We start from the raw sequence: 24048 nt of genomic DNA, 5'->3' as shown, positions 1-24048 counted from the left end.
GCCTTAATAAGCACTAAACAAATGGGGTAGATTTATCTTATGTCACTAGAGATTCTGCTTAGAAGGGTGAGTGGTGAATGCCTGTCAAATTAACTGTCTAGAGTTCTTTCTGGGATGGTATAAATTCTTTATTTTTTATTTATGTATTTATTTTTTTGCTGAGACAGAGTCTCGCTCTGTCGCCCAGGCTGGAGTGCAGTGGCGTGATCTCGGCTCACTGCCAGCTCTGCCTCCTGGGTTCACACCATTCTCCTGTCTCAGCCTCCCGAGTAGCTGGGACTGCAGGCACCCACCACCACGCCCGTCTAATTTTTTGTGTTTTTAGTAGAGACGGGGTTTCACCATGTTAGCCAGGATGGTCTCGATCTCCTGACCTCACGATTGGGGTGGCGTAAATTCTAACTGTCCCCAAGGCAGTGGGATAGACTCAGTCTCTCTGGTTCCCTTTCTGGCCCCAGAGGGTAGGGAGTGGGGTGGGGAATGATTCTATCATCATGATCTTCACCTCCAGCTGGAGGGGAGGGGATTGTTTCTGAGGGTATCCGTCATGATCTGAGATGAATGATGATCCAGCATTTTCCCAGGAAGGGCTGGAAGCATCCCAGCGATGCTGGCTTCATCGTTGTCCTAGTCCAGGCCCTCATGCATCCTTGCGCTGCATCGTGCATGGCTTATACAACAGAAACAAAGCTAGCCTGGACCTTCCCTGCATCTAACTGGGCATGGCTCAGTTAGAGCCCTTGTAGTAAGGTCAGGTAGAGATGGGCCAGGCATTAGGTGCCACGCAGATGTGTCTCTCCACCAGTCCTCGCCTTGGGTGATAACAAGATGCTTTGCGATCAGAACCATGGGTGGATTGTAGGGAGCCGAGGGGCAGCTATTGGGCCTCTGCCTAAGAATAGCGTTCATAGTTATGGCTGATTGAGGGGAGAATTATGAAGAGTGAATACAGACCTGAGGGGCAAGCAAACCTGGGTTCTGGTCCAGGGAAGGCCTCTAGTCAACATCCAGCCACCTGCACAGCATCTTCCAGCACAGAGAGACATCGGTCAGAGCTTCACTCTCCCTGGTCCCTTGGACCAAACTGCTGAAGAGAGCCCAGTGACACCATAGTAAAGGGTCATTTTCCACCCTGGCTAAGTTGAAAATCCCTCTAAGTCAGCCAGGAAGAAAACATTCATGGGAAAATGTAAGTATTGCTTCTGTTTATTAAATATTTATTCTAGAACCGTGCTAGTGGATTATTTAATTGAACACCCACAGCATCCCAACAAGGTAGATTCTATTTATATTCATGCTTTGCAATAAGGAAACCGGGGTGCAGGGAGGTGACAAAGTTGCTCAAAAACACCCAGCTTAGGAAGCAACTGCACAGGACTTGAGTCCTGTTGACTCTGACCCCACAGCCCCTGTGGATACCACTAAAGGTCCCATTTAGATTGGAAAAGAGATTCAGCATGAGCAGACAGCTAGAGGGGCCATGATTTTCCCAGAGGCACTTGGACAGCCATTCATTTTTCTAAACCCAGCTTCAAGTGGACTCAGACCCGGTATGGACACTGCTCCACTCAGCCCAATGAGCATTCTCTCATCCTGTTGTTCATAGAACTTCTCTGCCTGAGCTCTGCTCCTGGTCAGCCTTAGGCTGAAATTCCCCCAGGAGCAGGGGCTAACCCTGTGTCACTTGGTGCAATAGAGAAGAGGAGACATAGAGCCTGATGCAGACTCCCAGCTAATGACGCTCACACCCCAGTTGCAGCTCATCTCCAGGGAAGTGGTGACATAAAGCAATACACAAGATTAGAAAACTCACATGCCCACAGTGCTGTGCAGGTTACCTGAGTGACTGAAGCAGCTGTCTTAGTCCATTTGGGCTGATATAGACTGGGTAGTTCATAAGCAACAAAATTTATTTCTCAGTGTTTTTTGTTTGTTTGTTTGTTTGTTTGTTTGAGATGGAGTCTTGCTCTGTCACCCAGGCTGGAGTACAATGGTGCGATCTTGGCTCACTGCAACCTCTACCTCCTGGGTTCAAGTGATTCTCCTGCCTCAGCCTCCCAAGTAGCTGGGACTACAGGTGTGTGTGCCACCACACCCAGCTAATCTTTGTATTTTTAGTAGAGACAGGGTTTCACCGTGTTGACCAAGCTGGTCTTGAGCTCCTGACTTCAGATGATTCACCGGCCTTGGCCTCCCAAAGGGCTGGGATTACAGCCATGAGCCGCTGCGCGTGGCCTATTTCAAACAGTTCTAGACACTGGAAGTTCCAGATCAGGATGCCAGTGTGGTCAGGTTCTGGGGAGGGCCATTATTCTGGGCTGCAGATGGCTGGCTTCTTTCTGTGTCCTCACATGGCCAAAAAAGGATGAAAGAGCTCTCTAGGGTCTCTTTTTATAAGGGCACTAATCTCATTCAAAAAGGCTCTGCCTCATGACCTAATCATCTCCCAAAGGCCCTGCCTCTTAACATATCACTTTGGGCATTAGAATTTCAATATATGAATTTGAGGGGAACTCAAACATTCAGACCATAGCCCCAGCCAAATGGAGTCTGTTCCCCTTCAAAGGGCAGCTCCTCCTCAGCCTTCAACCTGCTGGGCCTCGTGGCAACGTGGGACTGGTAGACTCAGGCCTTTTCATTTTATTTTAAGCCAAGTCAGACATTTAGTTTTTAAAGGTGAAATCTCACATCTTTAAAATGTTGGCAACCATTTTAAAAATTTGTTTTTAATGTTGTGCTGGGCATGCTAATTACATGTGTGGGCTGGAAGAGGCCCGTTTGAGGCTTCTACAGTGTAGACATGGATAAGGGGCTTTGGGACCGAGAGCATTGGGTTCAAATCACTGCCCTTCTACTTTCTGGCAGTGCAACTCAGGTAAACGACTTGATGTCTGGATAAAGTGGGGATCCTACTCCCACCTGGCAGGCTGTGCTGTAGGATTGAATGGGTAAGGCTTACAAAGAGCCTGGGACAGTGCCTGGTGCTTAAAGAATGCGGCTTTTGTTGTTATCCTCATTCTGGAGTATGTGTGAACGGTGAGCTCCCTGTCTCTGCCCCACTTTGCTCCTAGAGGGGGGACAGTGCCTTTTTTCACTTGGTGTCTTCCATAGAATCTCTGTGGTCTTCTCTTTTGGTCTTCACAGCCAAAGAAATTGCAGGCTTCTGTTTGTCAGGAGGATTCTGACAGTGACTCTACCAAGAAGTCAAAGGATGCCTAGAGCTGGCGATTAGCTCCCTTGGCACCAGCTGAAGGATGAAAGCAAGTGTTCTTGGAGCTCATGCTTGAAAATAAACCCTCCAATTCAGGGCTTCTCAGCTCCCTTGGCAAACTCTCCAGCATTTGGGTCCCTGGCTTTGGACACTGCAACGTCCTTACTATGTTTGGTTTGTGCAAAGGTGCCCAACATGGTGGCTTCCTGGCCTGGAATATTCTGTTGCTCTTCCTTGATACTCTCTAGAGCAACAGGAAGTCCTTCTCCTGAGAGATGCATTTTCCAAACCTGAGGCATCTTATTCTTTCTTCTGATCTCAGCCTTCCATTTAGATTTCATCAAAGGAGAAAGAAGTAGAGGACTTACTTACCAAGGTGTGGTATATCCAGAGTAGGAAACAGATTAGAAATGAATGCAATCCATAGAAAGCCAAACTGCTTCACATCCTGTCCCCTCACAGGAAAGCATTCAGACAGAACCACAGACCAGCAGCCACAAGGAATGCTTTTGACACTGTGACATGATCTCAATATTTAAAACAGCTTCTCAAAACTTAAAGTGCAGGATTTCATTCATAAAACACAACAAGCTTTCTCTGAATTTTTTCTATATCTCATATATCAGGCAGCAGGCCCCTGTTCCCCAGCTTCTCCCAAATATCCCTCCAAATGTGTCCTGAGCCGCTCTTGCCTCCTTGACCTGCGTTCTTACCTTTCAGATCTAGTTTCTTTCTAACTAAGCCTTTCCAATGGAAACCATACTCACCTTCCTGGCTTCCCTTGTTTGGTGGCCCTCCCGGAACCCTAAGCAGCACAGTAAGCAAGCAGGTGGACAAAGAATCGGTGTTGGAATACTAGTGGGGAGAAAGGCTGTGATGGTATTTGCATCTGCACTTTGCCGCATGGCATTAACACAGTGGATGTCACAAGGCTCGGGGAGAAGCGGTCTGATGGTAGCTTTTAATAGGCAGAACATCTGAGAAGTCACGTGAGAAGACCTTCCGTGCAAGAACACAGCAGTCCCTGCATCTGCAATAGCGCTCGTCTCATTTGACACTGTAGGAAATTCCATGCTTTATACCTTACAGGGTGGGGTCGATGGTTTAATAACTCACTACATGCTGGGGCAAGCAACCAGGGTCCCTGGGTATTTTCTATAGCTGATTTCATCTTGATCTTAAGCCTCTATCAGCCAAAAGAGAAGGGAGAAAACTCTACACCTTCCCCATAAAAGAAAGCTGTGTCTTTTTGCTTAAGTGGCCTTTTTGGGGTGAATGCTCAGCATTTCAGGGGCACTCCTCATTTTCTTAACCAAGAAGTCACAGAGGTCGCCCCACATAGCAGGGTGGAGTGTGGAGTGTGAGCCTTATCATGTGCTGGTGCATCCTTTCTCACCCCAGTCTATGGCTGAGGGTGCTGTGGTCCCTTCTTCTGGCACCGTGGGGAGTCATGATAACCCTACTCCACCTTCTGCCCTTCCACATTCGGCCAGTGCCGTGTCCAGACCCCAGCATATCCCTTTCTCTGCTTCTACTGAGAGGTCCTCGCACGCCTGCTTCCTAGTAGAGCCTCTGACTCCCTATTCTTAGCCACCCTCTACATCCCCCTCTGGGAGCTTATGGGCACTTTCAGACGCTGCTTTTGCACTCTATTTCTGGATTCTCTCTGCTTAACCTCACCATACCAGCATTTCTGGGCTCACCTGGCTGCCCCATGCTGGTGCCAGGCCACTAAGCAAAGCGGGCTTCCAGAAAAGGGAAGGGACTTTGTACAGCCTCTTCCCAGTTTCTTTGACCCATCTTTCCAGACCTCAGCTCAGGGTTGTGGGGGAACTGGACATCTTCCCCTCTCCCCTAAGTCTCATCCACTCTGAATTTCTCCCCTGTGGTTCAGAAGAGCATGCTTTTCCCTTCTTGTTTAAGATAACTTATCACTATGTTAGACCCTCCTTCTCAACTTCCCTAGGTCACATGTGGGAGCTACCTACCCATTCCTTTCTTGGAATATCAAACCTCAATGTGGCCTTAATGGCAGATAGGACATAGATGGAAGATCTTGCTTACCACAAAAAGTGAAATATATCAGAAAATATATTGACACCATTTATTTCACTTACAACATGCCTGCTCTTGTCATTATGGAGACAGGTAAGGCAGATAGCATTTTCTTACTTTACAGCTGAGAAAATGAGGCTCAGAGAGGTTAAGAGACCCAGCAAGGTCACACAGCTTGTGGGGGGCATAGTCAAGAAGAACATGTGAGCGTTTGGACTCTGTAAGAGTATTCTTTCTGTGGCCCTGGGCCACCTCCCCTGCTAGGGCTCTCTTTTCCTCCATGGGACTGTGAAGTCAGCCACAGGGCACCGTCAGCTCCGCCAATCTGCTCCCTTGTCTCTTAAAGTGATTATAAAGTAGAAACGATGAAATCCACAGCTGCAGGAACAGTAGGAATTCTGCCTCAAATAGGCATGAATCCTGGAAGCCAGCATTTAATGCTGAAGTCACTACGAACTTCATTTAATCTTTTTTTTTTTTTAAGAGATCGCCAGCTATGAATGTCTGGAAGGTGGCCAACGATCCATTATAAGCACTAAATAATTTGTAAGTCAAACCTATCGATGGCAATGTGGTGTCAAAATCACTCAACAGTGTTCATTGAAAAGACAAATCAGTTATGCCTGGGCCTCTGCAAAGGTGGTTTGGGAAGGCAGCAGATGGTCATGTAAGTATGCGTAAACATATATATTTAATGGACTGCAGAAGGAACAAAAACTGGCATAATAATTGAGGAATCTTTTGGACTCTACAATTTTTCTTGCTGGGAAACCTGCCCAGCCAAGAATCCACAAGGCCTGTGAATCAAGTCGGCACCCTGTCCTCATCCACTGAGCTTATGAAAAAATGAGGGTTTGACTGCTGATAGCAAAGGTTCCAAACCTACTGAGACCTCCCTTCTGCATAATGCTTTTACCTGAGAGGAGAAGATTTTATACCCCCACTCCACTGCCTCCTCCGAGCCCCTTCATCTTGTTCCTGGACTTCTACAAAACCTGCCTAACCAGACTCCCAGACTCCACTCTGCCCCTCTATAATCTATATTCAAGGACAAGCCAGGGTGGTCTTTTGAGAACCAAAGTCAGATCATGTTATGCCTCTTGCTCAAGCCTGTCTTCTCTGGTTTACCATTGTATGTAGAATAAAATTCTTAATTTCGTATGATGGCCAACACAGCCCTCCCTGTTTTGAACACTGTCTACTTCTCCAACTTCCTTCTTTTTCTTTTTTCTTTTTTTTTTTTCCTCCGAGACAGAGTTTCACTCTGTCGCCAGGCTGGAGTGCAGTGGTGCAATCTTGGCTCACTGCAACCACCGCCTCCCGGGTTCAAACCATTCTCTGCCTCAGCCTCCCGAGTAGCTGGCACTACAGCTACCACACCCAGCTAATTTTTGTATTTTTAGTAGAGATGGGGTTTCACCATGTTGGCCAGGATGGTCTCGATCTCTTGACCTATGATCCACCCGCCTTGGCCTCCCAAAGTGCTGGGATTACAGGCGTGAGCCACTGCGCCCGACCTTCTCCAACTTCTTTCATACCTTTGCCCAACTCTCTCCCTAAGCCTTGACCTCTTCCTGGCCTTTTTGCTGTTACTTGAATAGGTCAAGATGTCCCTGCCTCCGGCCCTTTGCTCAAGCTTGGCCTGAGTGTCCCGCTTTCAACTTTGCACATCATTCAACTCTAATCTCAAATGTCACCTCCCAGAGAGGCCTTTCCTAACCAGTCATTCTCTGTTGTATTACTGTGTTTTGTTTCTATTACCGCGTAACTCCTAAAATATTTACATGATTACTATCCATCTTTCTAATCTACAATAGAAAGTTCCAGAAAGCAGGGACTTGGTCTTATTCACAGCTATATCAATGGTACCTAGAGGGTCACTTGTCTCATGGCTGGCATCCTCATGAAACTTGTTTATTGACTGGGCTACTCCTTTCTTCCCCAAAACTGATGGTCTCCTTTACCAGTTGAGCAACAACCATATTGAAGTTTACCAGTGATCCAATCATTTGTTTTTGTAAAGTCATCTGTTTAACAAGAATTTACTAATTTCCTACCATTTTCCAGCCCATATGCTAGGCATGAGGGCCACAGAGCAGCCTCTGACCACCAAGAATTCAAGATCTGGAAAAGTCCATGATACCTGTTCAATGTGGGAAGAACCAGAACAAATGTGTGCATTGTGTACTCAGATAATGGGACCCCCTAGGCCAGGGGTTTCCAGGGAGGCCTTCAGAAGGAGATAGACCTTGAGCTGTACCTTGGAGGATGTGTAGGAGTTAGGCAAACAGGGGCTTGAAGTATTCTAAGCGTAGGAAAAGCAAATATTCAGAGCCCAAGAGAGGCTGGCAGACGTCGTTCCGCATGCCTGGGGTAAAGGATTCCCTGTAGGAGAGGCAGACGGGTTGGAGTGGGACTGGCCTTTGTAATATTAAGGAGCTTGGACTTTACTTTGAAATAATTATAAACTCGTAAGAAGGGGAGGGACTTAGGGTTGCGTTTTGGGAAGATCACTTTGGCCATGAGGGAGAGGATGTATCGGAGGAGAAAACAAAGGAGACAGAGACCTGAATTGCCTGGACAAGAGGGGTGTAATAGTTTCCTAGGGCTGCAGAAACAAATCACCACAAAGTGGGTGGTTAAAAGCAATGGAAATGTATTCTCTCACAGTTCTGCAGGATAGAAGTCCAAAATCCAGGTGTGGACAGGGCCAGGCTCTCTCCAAAGCCTCTAGGGAAGGATCTTTCCTTGCCTCTCCCAGCTTCTGGTAGCCCGCCCCCAGTATTCTTTGGTTTGTGGCCGCATCATCCCAATCTCCGCTTCTATCTTCACATTGCCACCTTTTTTTTTTTTTTTTTTTTAGTGTCTCTCTCTTCATATGGCATTTTCCTCCTCTTATTGGAACACCAGTCATGTTGGATTAAGGCCCACACTAATAGCCTCAATTTGACTTCATCTGCATAGACCCTATTTTTTTTTCTTTTCTTGAGAGAGAGTCTCACTCTGTCAACCAGGCTGGAGTGCAGTGGCATGATGTTGGCTCACTGCAACCTCTGCCTCCCGGGTTCAAGAGATTCTCCTGCCTCAGCTTCCCGAGTAGCTGGGATTACAGGCGTGCGCCACCAGGCCTGGCTAACTTTTGTATTTTTTTTAGTAGAGATGGGGTTTCACCATGTTGGCCAGGCTGGTCTAAAACTCCTGACCTGAGGTGATCTGCCCACCTCAGCCTCCCAAAGTGCAGAGATTATAGGCATGAGCCACTGCACCTGTTCCCTATTTTGAAATAAGGTCACATTCACAGGAACCAGGGCTTTGGGCCACAACATAATCTTTTGGGGGGACATAATTCACCTGTAACAGGGAGTGAATGAAAAGAAGGGGGCGGGGAATTCCAGAGTTGAATAGAGTTGGATTCAGTGAGTGGTGGAAACTAAACAGATGTAAATGCTTAAAGGAGAGAGGGTAATCTAGAAAGATTCCCAGATTTTCGGTTTGTGCAATCCGGTGGAGGGTGAAACTATTCATTGAAATATAGACTATATCATATAAGACAGAACCCAAGGTCCCTGTTTCTTTTCTACAAATACTTAGCACATTATTCAAAGCAATCTTAGTAGCCCAAAGAACTCCCCTAGAGAGGAAGAAATGGAAGAAATGGCAAAACAAAAAAAGGCAACTGCATGAGCAAAGCAAGAGGGAACGTTAGCTTCCTCCAAGTTTAGACCAGAAGCAGAAATGAAAATTGAGTTACTGAACTCAATTCATGTCTTAAAAGTTAGAGCCACAGACACAATCAGAGTTTTCCTTGTGGAAGAAAGGAAAGGAAACCTGTTTTCCCAGCCTCATCTATTGACCCTTCATTCATTCTGGAGCCAGGTTGGAATCAATAGTGTCTTGTTTGGTTTGAAATCCTTAGAAAAGGGAATCCAACTCCCAACTGTAGCTACAGAGCTTATTTCAGAAGAGCATTAGCATGCGCAGGAAGCAGCAGACCCTACAGGTATAACACCTTCTTCTTTGGCCCTCATAATCCAGGTCTTGTTCTGATGTGGTTCATCCGGTGCCGATAGCTCAACCTCTTTGATGTCCAGACCAAATGTGGCCCACTTTCCTTTGGGCATCGGTGCCTTTCAGCCTGTTTACCTGGAGGCGGTGGTTCTCTGCAACATCTGCCTATCCTTTGAAACAGAGTGGGGTGAGGGAGGGTGGGTGCTCCCCAGGAAAAGGCCGATTGAATTTGCAGGCACCAGACAGAGGTGATGATGCAGTATTTCAGCAGTGGTCTGAGAGGTAGCTTGGGTAGCGTGGAGTGAAATCCACCTTCCTACCACTTAAAACCCAGTTCAACCTCAGAGGACCGCAATAGAATGATAGCTTATTGGGACTGAGACATTGTCAGGGACAAGGCCAAAGAGGATGTGACCTACCACATGTTACACATTGTTGACAGACAGGCTTACTGGTGCTCACACTCCATATTCTTTTTGACATTCTCCTTCCCTCCTGTTCTTCTGACAGTTGGGAAGTCTTACGTGGCCTCGCTGCCTTTAACAAGCTTTCTGTTGCCTGAGGGGGAAAACCACCTCTGCTCTTAACCTGACCCAGCTAATTGGCCCTGGGGAAGTAAATTATGTAGAAAGAAGAGCCCTCCCTGACTCTTGCCACAAATATCTCCTAACTATAGGAGACACTGAGAGTGACCACAGCCTTCTTATAAATCTGTTGTGGCCTCATGACCTCTGAGCAATAATAAATAGTACTTTCACAGGCCGTCCTGTAGATATGAAGATGTTTTGTGAGAACATCTGGCATTCATTGACTCAGGAAAAGAAAGAAAAAAATCACAAGCCTTGGGACAGAATTTCATTTTCTTTTCATGTTTCCATGTGGGTGAAGGAGCCCTCTCTGTCTTTAACCAAATGTGGGATGGGGGTATATGAGCTCCCTTTCAAGTTTTAAAGGGGAAATAAAAATGCACACGCATTTCTGTGAAGAAGTTCTCTGGCTGGAGGGGGGCATCTTTCTGAAGGGGGCTGGGGATGTCCGGTTATTGTAACTAGCCTTCAGTACATCGCCTTTCCTTCTGGTCCTGTGAAGTTTTCTCTGTGCTGCCCTCTGGGAAGACCTGGGTTGCAGATGATGGATTCTGTAGGTTGGTTTGGGGACACCAAGGCGTGCAAGCTTGAAATGGATGAGAGCCGACAGTGCTAGTGTTCTCTCTGCCTCTCCCTCTTTCACTCTCTTCCTTTCTTTCTGTCTCTCCCCCTCTCTCCAGTGCTGTAGAACGACCTGGCTCATAAGCCCTAACAACCACAGATTTAGGCTCTCCTTGGAATGCAGTGGAAACTCAAAGCTCATTTCTGCAGGGTGGATTTTCCACTTTCCCACAGGATGAGCATAACTCTTTGCCCATACAAAAGCTGGCTGCTCTGTGATCAGTGAGTTTAAATCAGAATAGGTCTTAGGTAGCCAAAGTGGCTTAAAATGTTAGCAAACAGTGGGATCCCTTTTAATTTTTAAAGGGAACTCTAATTCTACCCTTTATGACTTGGTTAATTATCCTGGGCCCCTGAACAGCTGTCTATTGATTCCAATTAACATGATTGACATCTCCTCTGGAAGGTAAAAGCTAATCAACTACAGCATCTCCCACTGAGAATTCATTTCCTTCTTGGAGTCACTCCTGGGCAGGAGGAAACTTAAATATGAGAATCAAGATTCAGCACCCACAGCTCTGATTTACTCTTTTATATACAGCCTCACAGTATCTTGTAGAGGGGAAAAAAAAAAAGGCTAGAAATGTTTAAAAATGGCAGTGTATTTTTGAACCAAACTAGAGTTAATTCAGTTGGCTTTCACTTTCCTTCCTATTTTTCGTGAATCTAAATTGATCCCTTGAATGTTTGATTTCCTTTTCCTTTCCGGTTCTGAAGGACCCACAAAGTCTACTTTTATTGCTTCTGACAACAAGTTTAGAAGTTGACATGAACTTCCTGGTGCAGCCAACCTTCAATTTTTCATCTCCGTTTTGCAGTGATTTAGATGCAGATCTTGATGGTTTGCTAGTGACGTTTTCAGATAAAACAAAAGCCAGTAAGAGAGAAGTTATGTCAGATAACCAACCAGGGTCCATAAGACAGCAGAGCGCTGGAAGGCTGCTGAATCTAAATGCGAAACATAAATAGTGCCAACAAATTCATTCAACACATATTTCTGCCTATTGTGTGCCAGGTACATGGAAATTTCTGGAAGGGTGGAATGTGATCTCGCCGTGATACCTATGGCGTCTTTCCATGTGTATTCTTCCTCTTCAGAAAGGAAATCTACACGTTACAGTTGGCAGCAAGCTCAACGTGAAGTGTTATATGGTCGCCAAAAAAAAAAAAGTGCTATTATAGGCTGCGTAGTATCCAGTTCAAAGGGGGCAGTGGTTAAACAAATCCTAACATTAATTGGCATTTTATTTGACTATAAATTTCATAAGGGCAGACACAACGTTGGTCTTGCTGCTCACCACATTCCAATAACCTAGCTCAGGGCTTGGCACACCATGGACACTGAATAGATATTTGATGAATGAACCAATTATCTGGGCACAGACCCAATCGTGGCAAAGAAACAGAGGCCAACTTTGTGCTGGGTAAGCTGGTCAGATAGGATAATTATGGGATGGATGGGTGGATAGACTGGGTAAAGTGACATCAGAGGAAGTGAGATGAGATTTTGTTTTGGACAAATAAGATGGGGATAACTGATAATGGGCAAATAAAACTCAAGGTTCACTCTCAAGAAAGAGCTCACAGGCTTTGGGGATTTGTGCATGAGGAGATACAGTGCTGCATTCCTAACTGTCGAGTGACTCTGCTTTAATTAGGTTTGGGCAGTAAGTAGGAAGAACAGTAAGAGACTCCTTAACATCAGACAGTGTGGCCCAGCAAACGGCCTGCTGGATGTGTCTATTCTGTTCTGTTGCTGACTGTAGAAAACGCACCCCTCTTCCTACACACCTCTTCTTTTATCTCTCTTTCTGGAGCCATCACATTTACTTAGAGGAGAAATGGGGAGGAGGGGAAGCAGCCAGGAAAAAAAATAGATGGCTCAACTATACCCAGAAACCAGTGTCCAAGTCTCATGTTGCAAGGCCAGCACCTCCCTAGTAAAGATCAAATGCTTATAGTGGCATTTCTTGGCCAAGATAGAGCCAACAACAGCAAATAAAAACAATACCACAAACCCACCCTGGGAACTACAGAACTCTTGTATTTTGTTTCTCTTCTGCCCACTTTAGAGTTTAGGTTTCTGTCTAGCAGATTTAAGTGTGTTGCCTATCATTCGTCAACCCCAAATGCCAGTTTATGTATCTTAATGTCACTTGTCCTTACCGCTACAATAGATCTTCAGACAATTAGAAGCCGCCCGGCATCCTGCAGGGAGTCTAGGGCCCTAGGCTGGACTTCGTGGAAAGAAACTAGAGAATTTCTGATGTTCTGTTCCTGACTATTTGAAAAATTACAGCGCTCTCTACATTTCAGATAATTCTTTCCAGTTCTCCACTGCTGTCACTGGTTGGTCTTTCTTGTTTATGTAGCTTTGCTGTGTTGGGGGAAGGTGGGCAGGAGAGACGTTAACGGCATAACCTAAGAGAACAAAAGTTAAGCAAAGCAACATCGAATTCCAGTAAATATGTAGGTTGATTCCTGCTGACTTCCTCTGGTTACCTTAGCACCTGTCAAAGCCCCGAGACCTCTTATTTTGGAGGAACCCCCTCCCCCACCACGTCGAACATAGTGAATTACACTTAGATCACACATTAGATGTAGCATACAGAAAAATAGAAACAATTATTATTTTGTTTCTTGTAATTTTAACTTTATACTTTTTGTATACTGGGGCCAGTGTAATTTTTTCCAACTCTACACGTTTGTATTTGCCCCCAAAAAGCTCATGTGACATAGGTCTTGACTAACATGGGTAATGGCCCTGCCTGCCGTAGCCCTGGCGCCCTCACAGGCTATTGACTTTTCTCGAAGAAACTGCCCGACTATTCTCTCCATTCAGTCAACCAGGATTTTCAGTCATCCACTGAATGTCCAATACTATGCTGGTTGTGGCGTCACTCTCAACTTCTAAGGGCCTCTCCCAAAGCTCTGGCCTGGTCATTGCTTAGCCTACTCTGAAACTCCATATTTCAAGAAGAGTATCTTAATTAAGTGGGGAATTTTTCCAAGCAGCTGAACCAATGGGGCAAGGGGTCTGGGTTTGCTTTCCCAGACTGTGATTCGTTCCAGAAGAATCCTATACCACCTCCAGAGATGAGATAGAGGCAATGTCTGTAACAACTTAATACGGCTGTTATTATCCGAGGCAAAAATGCTGTGTGGCATTTAATGTGTATTACTGTACTGGGACTTGGGTATGATGTTGCTTTTTATACTCAAAAAGGACAAGCTATTTTGAGTACTTGGTAGCAACACTGGAAGAAGTCTGTAAGGCAAACTAGGTAACTACTGTGTGAATGGCTACGCCGCCGGTGATGCCTGACTTCTGTTGTGGCTGGTTTAAGGAAATCCATGTTCTTTATTGTCATACCTGATCTGTCACCCTAACCAAATTACCAGCTTCACCAGGGCAGAGATTATCTTAGAGCTTGAGGACTCTATTCAGTAAAAGGTCATAAAAATGGTAATAAGAAACAATAACAAAAGTTAGCATTTCTGGAATGCTTCCGTTATGCCTGGTTTGTTATGAGAATGTTTTACACCTCATCCCACTGGTCAGATATTATAGCTCTATGTAGATGAGCTTATGATTCTCCGTTTAAGGATGAGGAAATCTGAGGCTTGGAGGGGTTCAAGAAGCCATCCAAGACCACCCATCGTCAGAGAGTGTGTTTTCAAACCTTGCTTGTCTGCTGCTAAGCCTGTGCTTTCAGCCTCATCAGTTTCTCCTTTCTAGCTTGAATTTTAGTCAAGGGGCATCAGAAGAAAGAAATTGAGGTTTGGGGGCAATTAGTGGATCTTGAGAGCAGTGACAGAGCAGAGTTTGACATAGTTTCTTCCATTTGGTTTTCTCTTTTTTTCCCCCTCCTTCCTCCTGCTTTCTTCCTTCCACAAGCATCTAATCGATGCTTGTGGCACCATGCTAAGTTGCTGTGAGACAGAGATGACTGTCACCTAGTTCCTGCTCTGGAGCTGCTCAGGACCTAGAAGAGGATATGACGATGCATCTTTTCAGGAAAACGGGCTAAGGACCCTCATAGACCTACAGCTACATCCTGGTCTGCCAGAGCACAGCGGGAAGAGCAGCTGGGGAAGTGAGGGGAACAAGTATCCCAGCCAAAAAAAGAAAAAAGACAGCATTGTATATGAAGGCCCCCAGAATGAAAGCACATAACCTATTCAGGGAGTGACAGTGTAGTCGGGGGAGTTTGGTCAGCCCAGCTGGACTGAAGGAGTGATCATGGGAGATGATGGACATAAGGCTAGATGGAAGGGTAGGCTCCATCTAGGTCTCCAGATGGAAGGGTAGGTTCCATCTAGGTCTCCAGATGGAAGGGTAGGTTCCATCTAGGTCTCCAGATGGAACCTCCAGTCTGCCGTGAAGACCTCTGGAGACTACTGAAGGCAGAGACCCCAATAAAGATGGGAATAAGGGCCTGTGTTAGGACAGCGGGTAGCAGAGATGGGATGAATGGTTAGATTCAAAAGGCATTTCAGCTGTAAAATCAGCAGAGCTTGGAGACAGATTTGAAAGCGGGAGAAGAGGTCAAGGGGAAAATGAATATGAGGGTTTTAGCTGAAGCGGTAGGGTAGATGAGGGACATTGTTCACCAGGATAAGGAGGATGGTTGCAGGAGGATCCAGAGGAGGCTCGAGAAGGTGGTTAACCAGGGAGGAGTCAGTGAGTGCACTTTTGGGCCCGTTGAGTTGGGGGCGTCTGCAGGACATCCAGGTGGGGAAGTATGTTTTTTCAGCTATGCATTGTTGTGGGGTTTTTTTAGGTTTTGGTTTTGCTTCTCCAGTCTACGAATAGAACTTGAATCCTCCTTAAATTCATGAACTTGACAGTAACAATAATGTCAGAATTAGTATGTCTTTACTGCGGCCAGAGTAGACACCCTGTAGCAAGCGCCTAGAATATAGAAAGCAAATGGTGTTTTTGGCAGTCTGATACAGGCACCCAGCTGCTGAGTAGGGGCACAGGCCTGGAGAGAGGGCTCTGGAGCAGAGGGGTGCTGGGGAAGGGTGCAGAAAAGGGAGGAGAAGAATTATCTCTAAGAAGAAATCACTTTTGATTTTAATTTTACACACATGGGGCTCATAATACTCTCAAGAACATGCTCAGCAATGAAGGAAGATAGAGAGATAAGAGCAAGCCTCCCTTTATGGTAGGCTGGGGGACACTGTTGCTTTCTGCGGAGCAGTCTCCAGCGCCCAAAAGGAATGTGTTTTTGGTGCAAGGCAAGGAGAAAGTGATTCTCAACCCTTGCATGGCTTTCTTCGTGCCTTCCTAAATGTGCAGTTTACCTCTCAGTTCTGATCTGCTCCAAGTGTAGGGATAGGATTATGGATCCGGAGACATTTTAAATATCCAAAGAGAATGTTGCTCTCTCTCTTGCATTTTATTCTTATTTACTTAGCTACTGACTTGCTTTTAAAGCAATGTCAAAGGGAATCTATATGTTCTGCAGTGTATCTGATTCTGGAGTCTCACCTCCTTTCTTGTGTTAATTTAGGAATGTTTCATTTCTGCAAAACTAGTGCTGCGATCTTTGCTTTTCTATGCATGCCTTTCATCTGGTGCTCACAATGTGCTGTACAGATGTTTCACTGCCAGACCCTACTGCCCCCTAATTTGCTTTGTGATTCCTGGCTAGTTACAGTCCCTCTAGGCAATACCACCTCTTTACCTATACCAAAGCACAAAAATAAGGCACCTTTTGGGGGGTAGGGAAGGGGTCTCCCTCCATACACTGTCTCCTACTTCTTTGTCCATCATCAAATCCTTCTCATACTCTGGCTTCCCTGTTCAGTCTGTGTGACTCCCATTCATCAAGTGATAAATTCAATCATTAATTCAATATGTCCGTAGTGAGTGATATATTATACTAAGAACTGTGCCTGTTGTATCCCTAGAGATATAGCAATGCACAAAACACAGTCAGTTACTGCGTCTAAGTGCTCACTAAATGTAGTGGGTGAAATGAATGAAAAGTGAGCACAAACTTAACAATCTGACTCGGTGTATGGTAAAATCGGAGGACTCACCAGGTGCTATGGGAACATGAAGTGTAGGCCACAAACTCTTCTTAATTAGGCAGAGAATGCTTCCTGTAGGATGGAAGAGCTTGCTGTGGTTTGGCTCCTGGGTCTGCAGTTTACAAGCTGTTTGACTTTGGGCAAGTCACTGTACACCTCTGTGCATTTAAAATGTGATAATGATGTAAAAACTTAGTACAGCACCTATCACATAGTAAATACTCATATACACATATTCATTCACTCCTTCTTTCAGTAAAAATCATCTATTGAATACCTACCGTGTGTCAGGCAATGCCCTGGAAAGTGTGGATGGTGCACCCAGGTCTTGAAATACTAATATTTCCAGGAAATAAACTACATCATCTCAGTTCTTTTTTTTTTTTTTTTTCCTGCATGGACTACACTTGGAAGAAGTCTTTGAAGTAACAATAGTAGAAGTTCTTTTTTGCTGTCTGTTGAAGCAGCAACTCAGAGGATTTTCCTAGGTGTGAGGGAAAGCCCGGGCAGTGAGGAAGTAGCAAGTGAAGCTGTGCCCAAGTTGCACGTTTAGGGTTTTCATCTCACCAGCAGCTCCAGCCTACAGGAGTCACCCCTCCCAACCCCCATCCCTGTCTCAAATTAAGGTCTGCTTCACATAGCAGGGCACAACAGGAATGCATTGTCGTCTTCTGTTGCTGTCACAAGTGGTCTGAAAACCTTTAAGCTGTGCAATCCCCCACTGCTGCTGAATACTTGAAGTTCTTCTATGAAACCTTAGCATGACCCCGCATCTCTGGTGCTGCTTCATCTCGCAGAAACCTGTGAACCATGGAGGAGTTCTTCTCATCCCGTGATGGACAGAAGGCTGCTTCTTCAGAGAGAGAAGTATGAGCAGTGGGAAGCTAAGGAAGCTTACACTGTTGTTGATGATCAAAAAATGCAGCAATAAGCACTATCCTTCTCCAGGCCCAGAAACAGAGCTGGGGTCTACAGGCCAGTTGAATTAAAAAGGGGAAGCCCCACTGTTTAGAGACATTCTCTTTCTAGCAACCCTGGCCCTTTCTTTTTTCCTTCTTTTTTTCTTGAGATATAGTTTAACATAAGATTCACCATCTTAAATTATATCATTCAGTGCTTTTTAGTCTATGCACTATGTTGTGTGACCATCACCACTGTCTAATTCCAGAGCATCCCATCACCCCAAAGAGAAATCTGGTACCCATTAACAATTTCTCCCCATCCCCCCCCCCACCTTCCTCCAGCCCCCAGCAAATACTAATCTACTTTTTGTCTCTATGGATTTGCCTATTCTGGGTATTTCATAAAAATGGAATCCTGCAGTATGTGGCCTTTTATGTCTGACTTCTATCATTTAGCATGTTTTCAAGATTCATCTGTAATGCAGCATGTATCGATACTTCATTTCTTTTTATGGCTGAATAATATTCCATTGCATGTTCCACCTTTTGGCTATCATGAATAATGCTGCTGTGAACAATGATATGCAAGTTTCTGTGTGCATGTATGTTTTCAGTTGTATTAGGTATATACATAGGAGCAGGATTACTGGGTCACATGGTAATTCTATATTTAACTTTCTGAGGAACTGCCAAACTGTTTTCCACAATGGCCACGCCATTTATATTCATACCAGCAATGTATGCATGTTTCAGTTGGTCCACATCCTTGCCAACACTTGTTATTGTCCTTTTCATTTTTAGCATAGACATCCTGGTGGGTGTGAGGTGGTGCCCTTGCTTCTGTGCATTGATTTGGCCACTTTAGCCTTTATCTACTACTTCTCTCTACTCAGGGTAGTCTCCTATCAGAATAAGTTTCTCTGATCTGGGATCCAGAGTATTTCCTAAATGGAAAGGAAGATATGAACAGTTTTTAACATGTTCTGTCGTAGTTATGTCATTCTTACTGTTGACTTGACCAGAGTCTGCATCATCCCAATCTTGAGCTCCCAGTTCGGATGACTCTCACTGCTGTTTGCTAATTATAAGGCCTACCTTTGGTAAGGCAGAGATAGCTGTTCCCTCTTAAATCAGCCACTCTTCTTGCCCAGACAACTGGAGTGGGGAATGGAGAAACTCATTGCTTTCTCTCACAGTCTCTTGCTTCTCTTTATTGCTAAGCCAAGGGGTTAATGAAATATACAAAGAGCTCTTGTTTGAAAGAAATTAAAATCAGAGCATAATCACATCAAGGCCTGCTACTCAAAAATTCGTGATCCCTTGAACATAGCTCATATAAAGTGTTTTCAAAAGAGAGTTTGATAGGCAAGTTATCAAGTTATACTTAACCAACTTAAGGGAACAAAGTATTTTCATGCATTTTAGTTGGGTGTTTCTATTGCCTTTATACAGTGGGGTTAAGACTTATAATTATTCTTATCATTGAAGGAAGTCCTGAAGGATCTGCATCAAACAGTGAAACTACCAACTCATTATGTGTACTTGTGGGTAATCTGTGGATATGTTGTAATTCAAACTTTTCTAGCAAATTTAAACTATAATGTGTCTCAACCAGCCCAAATTAATGAGGCTTTGGAGTATGACCATTGAATCTAATTACTAACAAGACCTAAATGAAGTGCAAAGCAAAACTGACTTTGGCTTTGAATTCCAGGTCTGCGCTGGCTGTATGACCTCGGGCAAGTCATTTTTTTTCTCTAGTATAAAATGAGATTCTGATATGTAGGTTACAGGGCTGTTTTGAGAAGTAAATGAGATTACTTATATAAAGTGTCAGTACAGAGACAGTCACATAAATAGGAGGCATTCAATAAAGGAAGCCATTAGTAGTAGTACAAAAGATGTCTCATTCTATAAATAATGGATGTATTTCAAAAATGTTGCCAGTAAACACCCTTTTGTTTTATGGATAATGAAACATTAACTAGATTAGGGAGCTGATTTTTAAGGAAGCCGATAGTAAGCCCTCTTTTGTAAATGGACAGATCGTTTCCAGTTTTTCTTGTTTTTATAGCTCATTTTTGAATAACAGGATTTCTTAAAATGGAACACACCTGTTCAGAATCCCAAGCCCAGCACCCTCATCTCTTACCTCTACTTAAAAAACAGTTTGATTCTCGGGTTGGCAATGTTGGTGTAACAAACAAACAACAAAATGCCCCTTTGATGTGACTGTAATATATAAGGGAGCTCCAAGGTCTCTGAGTCAAAGGAGCTAGTGGCTCCTGGGAGAACAGGGCTGATTTCACTAATCTCATTCTTCATCAGGCTTTGAAGGGAAATCTCACAAAAACATTTAGGTTAAAATGAAAGCAAAAGTGCTCTCGCTGTAATAAGGATCTCAATTATAACCCTAGGAGAGCAGAGGGGCACCGGATTTGATAGAAAGAACCCTTTTAGCACATCCGTCTTTGATAACATCTAATGCAAAGAGTGAAGCCTTTGAAATTAGTTGGTCAGTCCAAAGCAGTTTTTAAATAATGCAACTGAGGACTTTTTGTTATATAGAACAGTCCTTACTGGTGCTGACTTTGAGGGTTGAATTAATTTTTCATGAGATCTTGGAACTCCAGGCTACCTTTCCAGCCTCTTCTGGTTTCTCAGGACTTTTTTCTAATGTGTAGGGTGATTAAAGTGTTTCTGTATGAAGGTATTGAGGGGCTCTGTTTGTCACTGTCTGGAAGTGTGATTCTGGAGAGTCTGAGAATTCTCCAGTAGGCCCTTATGAACTGGACCGTTCTACGATATCCATTCTTCATCTTCCATTTTCCTTGCCTATGCCCTGTGTACAGCACTATACATGCAATCATCAAACCAAGAAGACAGGTGGGAGAAGTATACTTCACTCTTGCAGAGAAGTGCCTTTTTTAGAACTGCAAGATTTAAATGAGGGAAGAGATCAATAGCTTATTTTTTCCTATTCATTTCCAGGAAGGGATCTTGGCACCCTATACCTATCCACTTGGGTTCCTAAGAGGAACTATCTTTCATGCGTCTGATTGCTGGAAATAGGGTCTTGTCTAACAGAAGTGGAAAGTACTGACTTCATTGTTAGCCTTAGAGAGTAAACTCAGCTGCTTTATTTTCTGAAGCATCTCCCAAATATTCTAATCTACCCAGATTGCTTCTGTTCTTCAAACTCCTATAATATATATTTGTAGCAGAAAAAAAGTAGAAAATAGCTTTAAGCCTGCCTTTCTTTCCCAACATTTCATTATAAGAATTGAAGAATATCTGACATTTACTTATATAACTGCATTGGGGAAAGAAGGAAGGACAGGCACTGTAGGACTAATTATTCTATGGAAGCTTTAGTGTAAGTGCTGAGAGCGCTGTAAATGTAATGGACAAGAGGAAAAACTCTGAATGCCTTCTGAACAGCCCTCCCTGCTGTCTCCCTCTCAAATCAAATCCATGATAGATGCCACTCTGCTGTACTCCCATGGTATCCAGTACTCGGCTCCATCCGGCACTCATCATACTCTGTTGTGATTACCTGTGTGCATGTTTGTCACCTCCACTAGACTGAGATCCACGAGAACAAGGACTGTGTCTCATTCACATCTTTATCCCCAGTGCTCAGCATACAGCCTATGTGCTCGGTATATGTTTGTCGAATAAATGATTGAGCAAATGAGTGAGAGAGCCATGTGAAGTAGTTGGGGCCACGTCTCAAAAGAAGTGTTACTGAAGAAATATTAGGTGAATATTCCAGATATCAGAATTGATTTGAATGATATTGTACTTCTGAAACCTACCAGAGTTTGGGCATATGATACTAGGAATCATGGAAACAGTGACAAATGTGGAATATTCATCCAGTAAACAAATTGTGGGTAGCTGAACATTTTTGCAACTCTCTTCATATTGTATTGACAGTACACCTATGAATCACTCCCTTCTTCAGAGTTTATCAGTCTCACATTAATGCATCAATCATCATTTGCAGAGGTGGGGAGTAGGAGAAATGAGCCAGCTCTAAGAAAGATTGCCGCTGTTTATGGGTAGCCAATCGGCAATGGGCCGATGCCTATTGGTAGGATTCTTCAGGTCATAATGTACATGCACAAGACCTTTTTTTCCTTTCGAAAAGGGATAATTGATTGAGGTGAGAAGATTGGAGAGTCCTAGGAGATTTTTAATCCAGTGCCATCACGCAAAGCTTACTACATCGGTAAGACAGTTCCATAGGGGAATGGAGGAGTAATTGAGATGCCACACCAGCTGGAATCCAGATGAAGATACATTTGGAAGCTTAATCACAATCATGTTCTACACTAAATATTCATCCGTCTGTCTCCCAAAGAGGAGAGGAAATTAAGTTGTCAAGGGCAGGATGGGGATGAGGGTTTAGCTGAAAGAAGAAACCCACACCATATCCTTAATCTCTAAATATGCAAGACTGTCTTAAATGGTTGAAGCAAGGGCTCTTCTTTCCAGTTTTATTTCCTGAGAAATATTTGAGCTGTTTATACACAATTTTGTCAGCTTTACAGTTACCAAAATGGACTGTTAAGATAACTTAGCCTCCTCTCTGTGGGATAAATACAGATGAGCAATGCCATCTCAAAGGAAAAAATGCTTTATTGAGCCAATATAGAAAAGTATTAAAGTTGTGTAAACATGCAGGAAGAAGCAAGGGAATTCCTAACAGAGCTGACGGGCTGTGATTGCACATGCCTTGATATACTCTGTCCCAAAAGTTGAATGAAACCCTGGATGTGGTCGATAGGAATTAGATTACGTGTTGTGAGGGCTTTTTTTATTTCCAAGTTAAACTGTTTATATCTCATCTAAATGGTCTCATGGCATCTAAATTTTATTTCAAATCATGATTTCAAAAATATTTGTTGCTGCTATATGGTTGCTGCTATACACTAAATGATAGGGTCCTTTGAAATTCTGACTCAACAATGTGAATCAAACATTGGCTTTTGTTAAAAGGGATAGTGAAGTTCAGTATTGTATTGTGCCCTGAGGCGCTTGCATTAGGTAGGGTGCCTTTGGCTGCAAGTAACAGAACAATCCCTGTTTGAATTCGTTTTAATAAGGCATTGTACTGTATCACGTGATAAGGAGTCGTTTGATAGGGGTTGCTCCAGCTGTAAGATGTCCTGATTACACGGGACATCATGTCATATGTCAAGTCAGTGTTGGGACTCCATCCTGATACTTTGATTAGTGGTGGTGGAAGGAAAGGGTATATTGTTTTTCTATTTCAAGACAAAGAACTTAACTCCTGGCCGGGTGAAGTGGCTCAAGCCTGTAATCCCAGCACTTTGGGAGGCTGAGGAAGGTGGATCACGAGGTCAGGAGATTGAGACCATCCCGGCTAACATGGTGAAACCCCGTCTCTACTAAAAAATACAAAAAATTAGCCAGACGTGGTGGCAGGCGCCTATAGTCCTAGCTACTCAGGAGGCTGAGGCAGGAGAATGGCATGAACCCGGGAAGTGGAGCTTGCAGTGAGCTGAGATGGCGCCACTGCACTCCAGCCTGGGCGACAGAACAAGACTGCATCTCAAAAAAAAAAAAAAAAACACAAAAAAAAACTTAACTCTTACGGAGCACTGTTTGGTTATGCCGAAGCCTGAAAGTAGCCTTCTCTCTCTTTAAATGCAAAGCCTGTACCCCCTCAGGGTAATGTACTTCCTCTGTTTCTTTGTGGTTATCTTGGTGTGCTGCCTTTCCCAGTGTGCAACACCATCCTCAAACTGGGTCTACAATATGGCACATGTATACATATGTAACTAACCTGCACGTTGTGCACACATACCCTAAAACTTAAAGTATAATCAAAAAAAAAGATGACTGAGGGATGTCCTGGCCATCCTATCCCGATGTTTCAATCCCCAGCAGAAGAAGGGGGTCATCTTTTCTCCATGCTTTTTTCTTAGGAGGGAGTAAACTTTTCCTAGAAGTTCATCAGTTGGACTTCTTCTCACTCAAAACCTACCCAGGCCAGCCCCTTGTGATTATTTTATGGTGGTCTTTGCTTGGAGGTGGAGGTAGGAACACAGCCATTCTCTTTGTACTGTGTGTCATATGAACAAAGCATAGCTCCCTGTGACACCACTGAACAATGTGGTGCCATAGAACGCAGGCTGTGGAGCCGGACAGTCCTGTACCTGAATCCCATCTCCATCACTAAATAGCAGCGTGACCTTGGCAAATCGCGTAGCCTCAGTGAGCTTCACTGCCTCTTGGGTAAATATGGGTGTGAACACCAGTCCCACACAGAGCTTGGAGAATTACAGCATGGAGCACAGGAGAAGCACTGCTCAGTCATTCTTCCTCATCCACCTATACCTTTCCATAGAGAGCGTCATGGTGCCAACTCGTTACCTAATGCACTTTTTTAAAAACCTAAGTATAGGTCTTCCTTTTGTAAACCCCATCTTCTTATTTACACATATGTTATGGTATAAAGTATAATTTGATTGAACGTATGTGCATATACCAGTATTTGGTGTGAATGTATTCCATATGTGTACATTGTAATATGTGTATATATGTTATAATTCATACACATATTCAATCAGCAGTTCCATATTGAGAAGAT

The 24048-nt window shown here is 44.1% G+C and overlaps 1 protein-coding gene across 3 annotated transcripts in view; it reads left to right on the top strand.

Annotated features, from left to right (window-relative positions):
* Positions 1 to 24048, top strand: part of SLIT3 (slit guidance ligand 3) — a 639400-nt gene that overhangs the window by 238796 nt on the left and 376556 nt on the right. The gene's annotated exons all lie outside the window — the stretch shown is intronic.

This window comes from Homo sapiens, chromosome 5 (genome assembly GCF_000001405.40).
Source record: "Homo sapiens chromosome 5, GRCh38.p14 Primary Assembly".
NCBI lineage: Eukaryota > Metazoa > Chordata > Mammalia > Primates > Hominidae > Homo > Homo sapiens.
The sequence above is the reverse complement of the archived record's forward strand: the minus strand, read 5'-3'. Positions and strand labels throughout refer to the sequence as shown.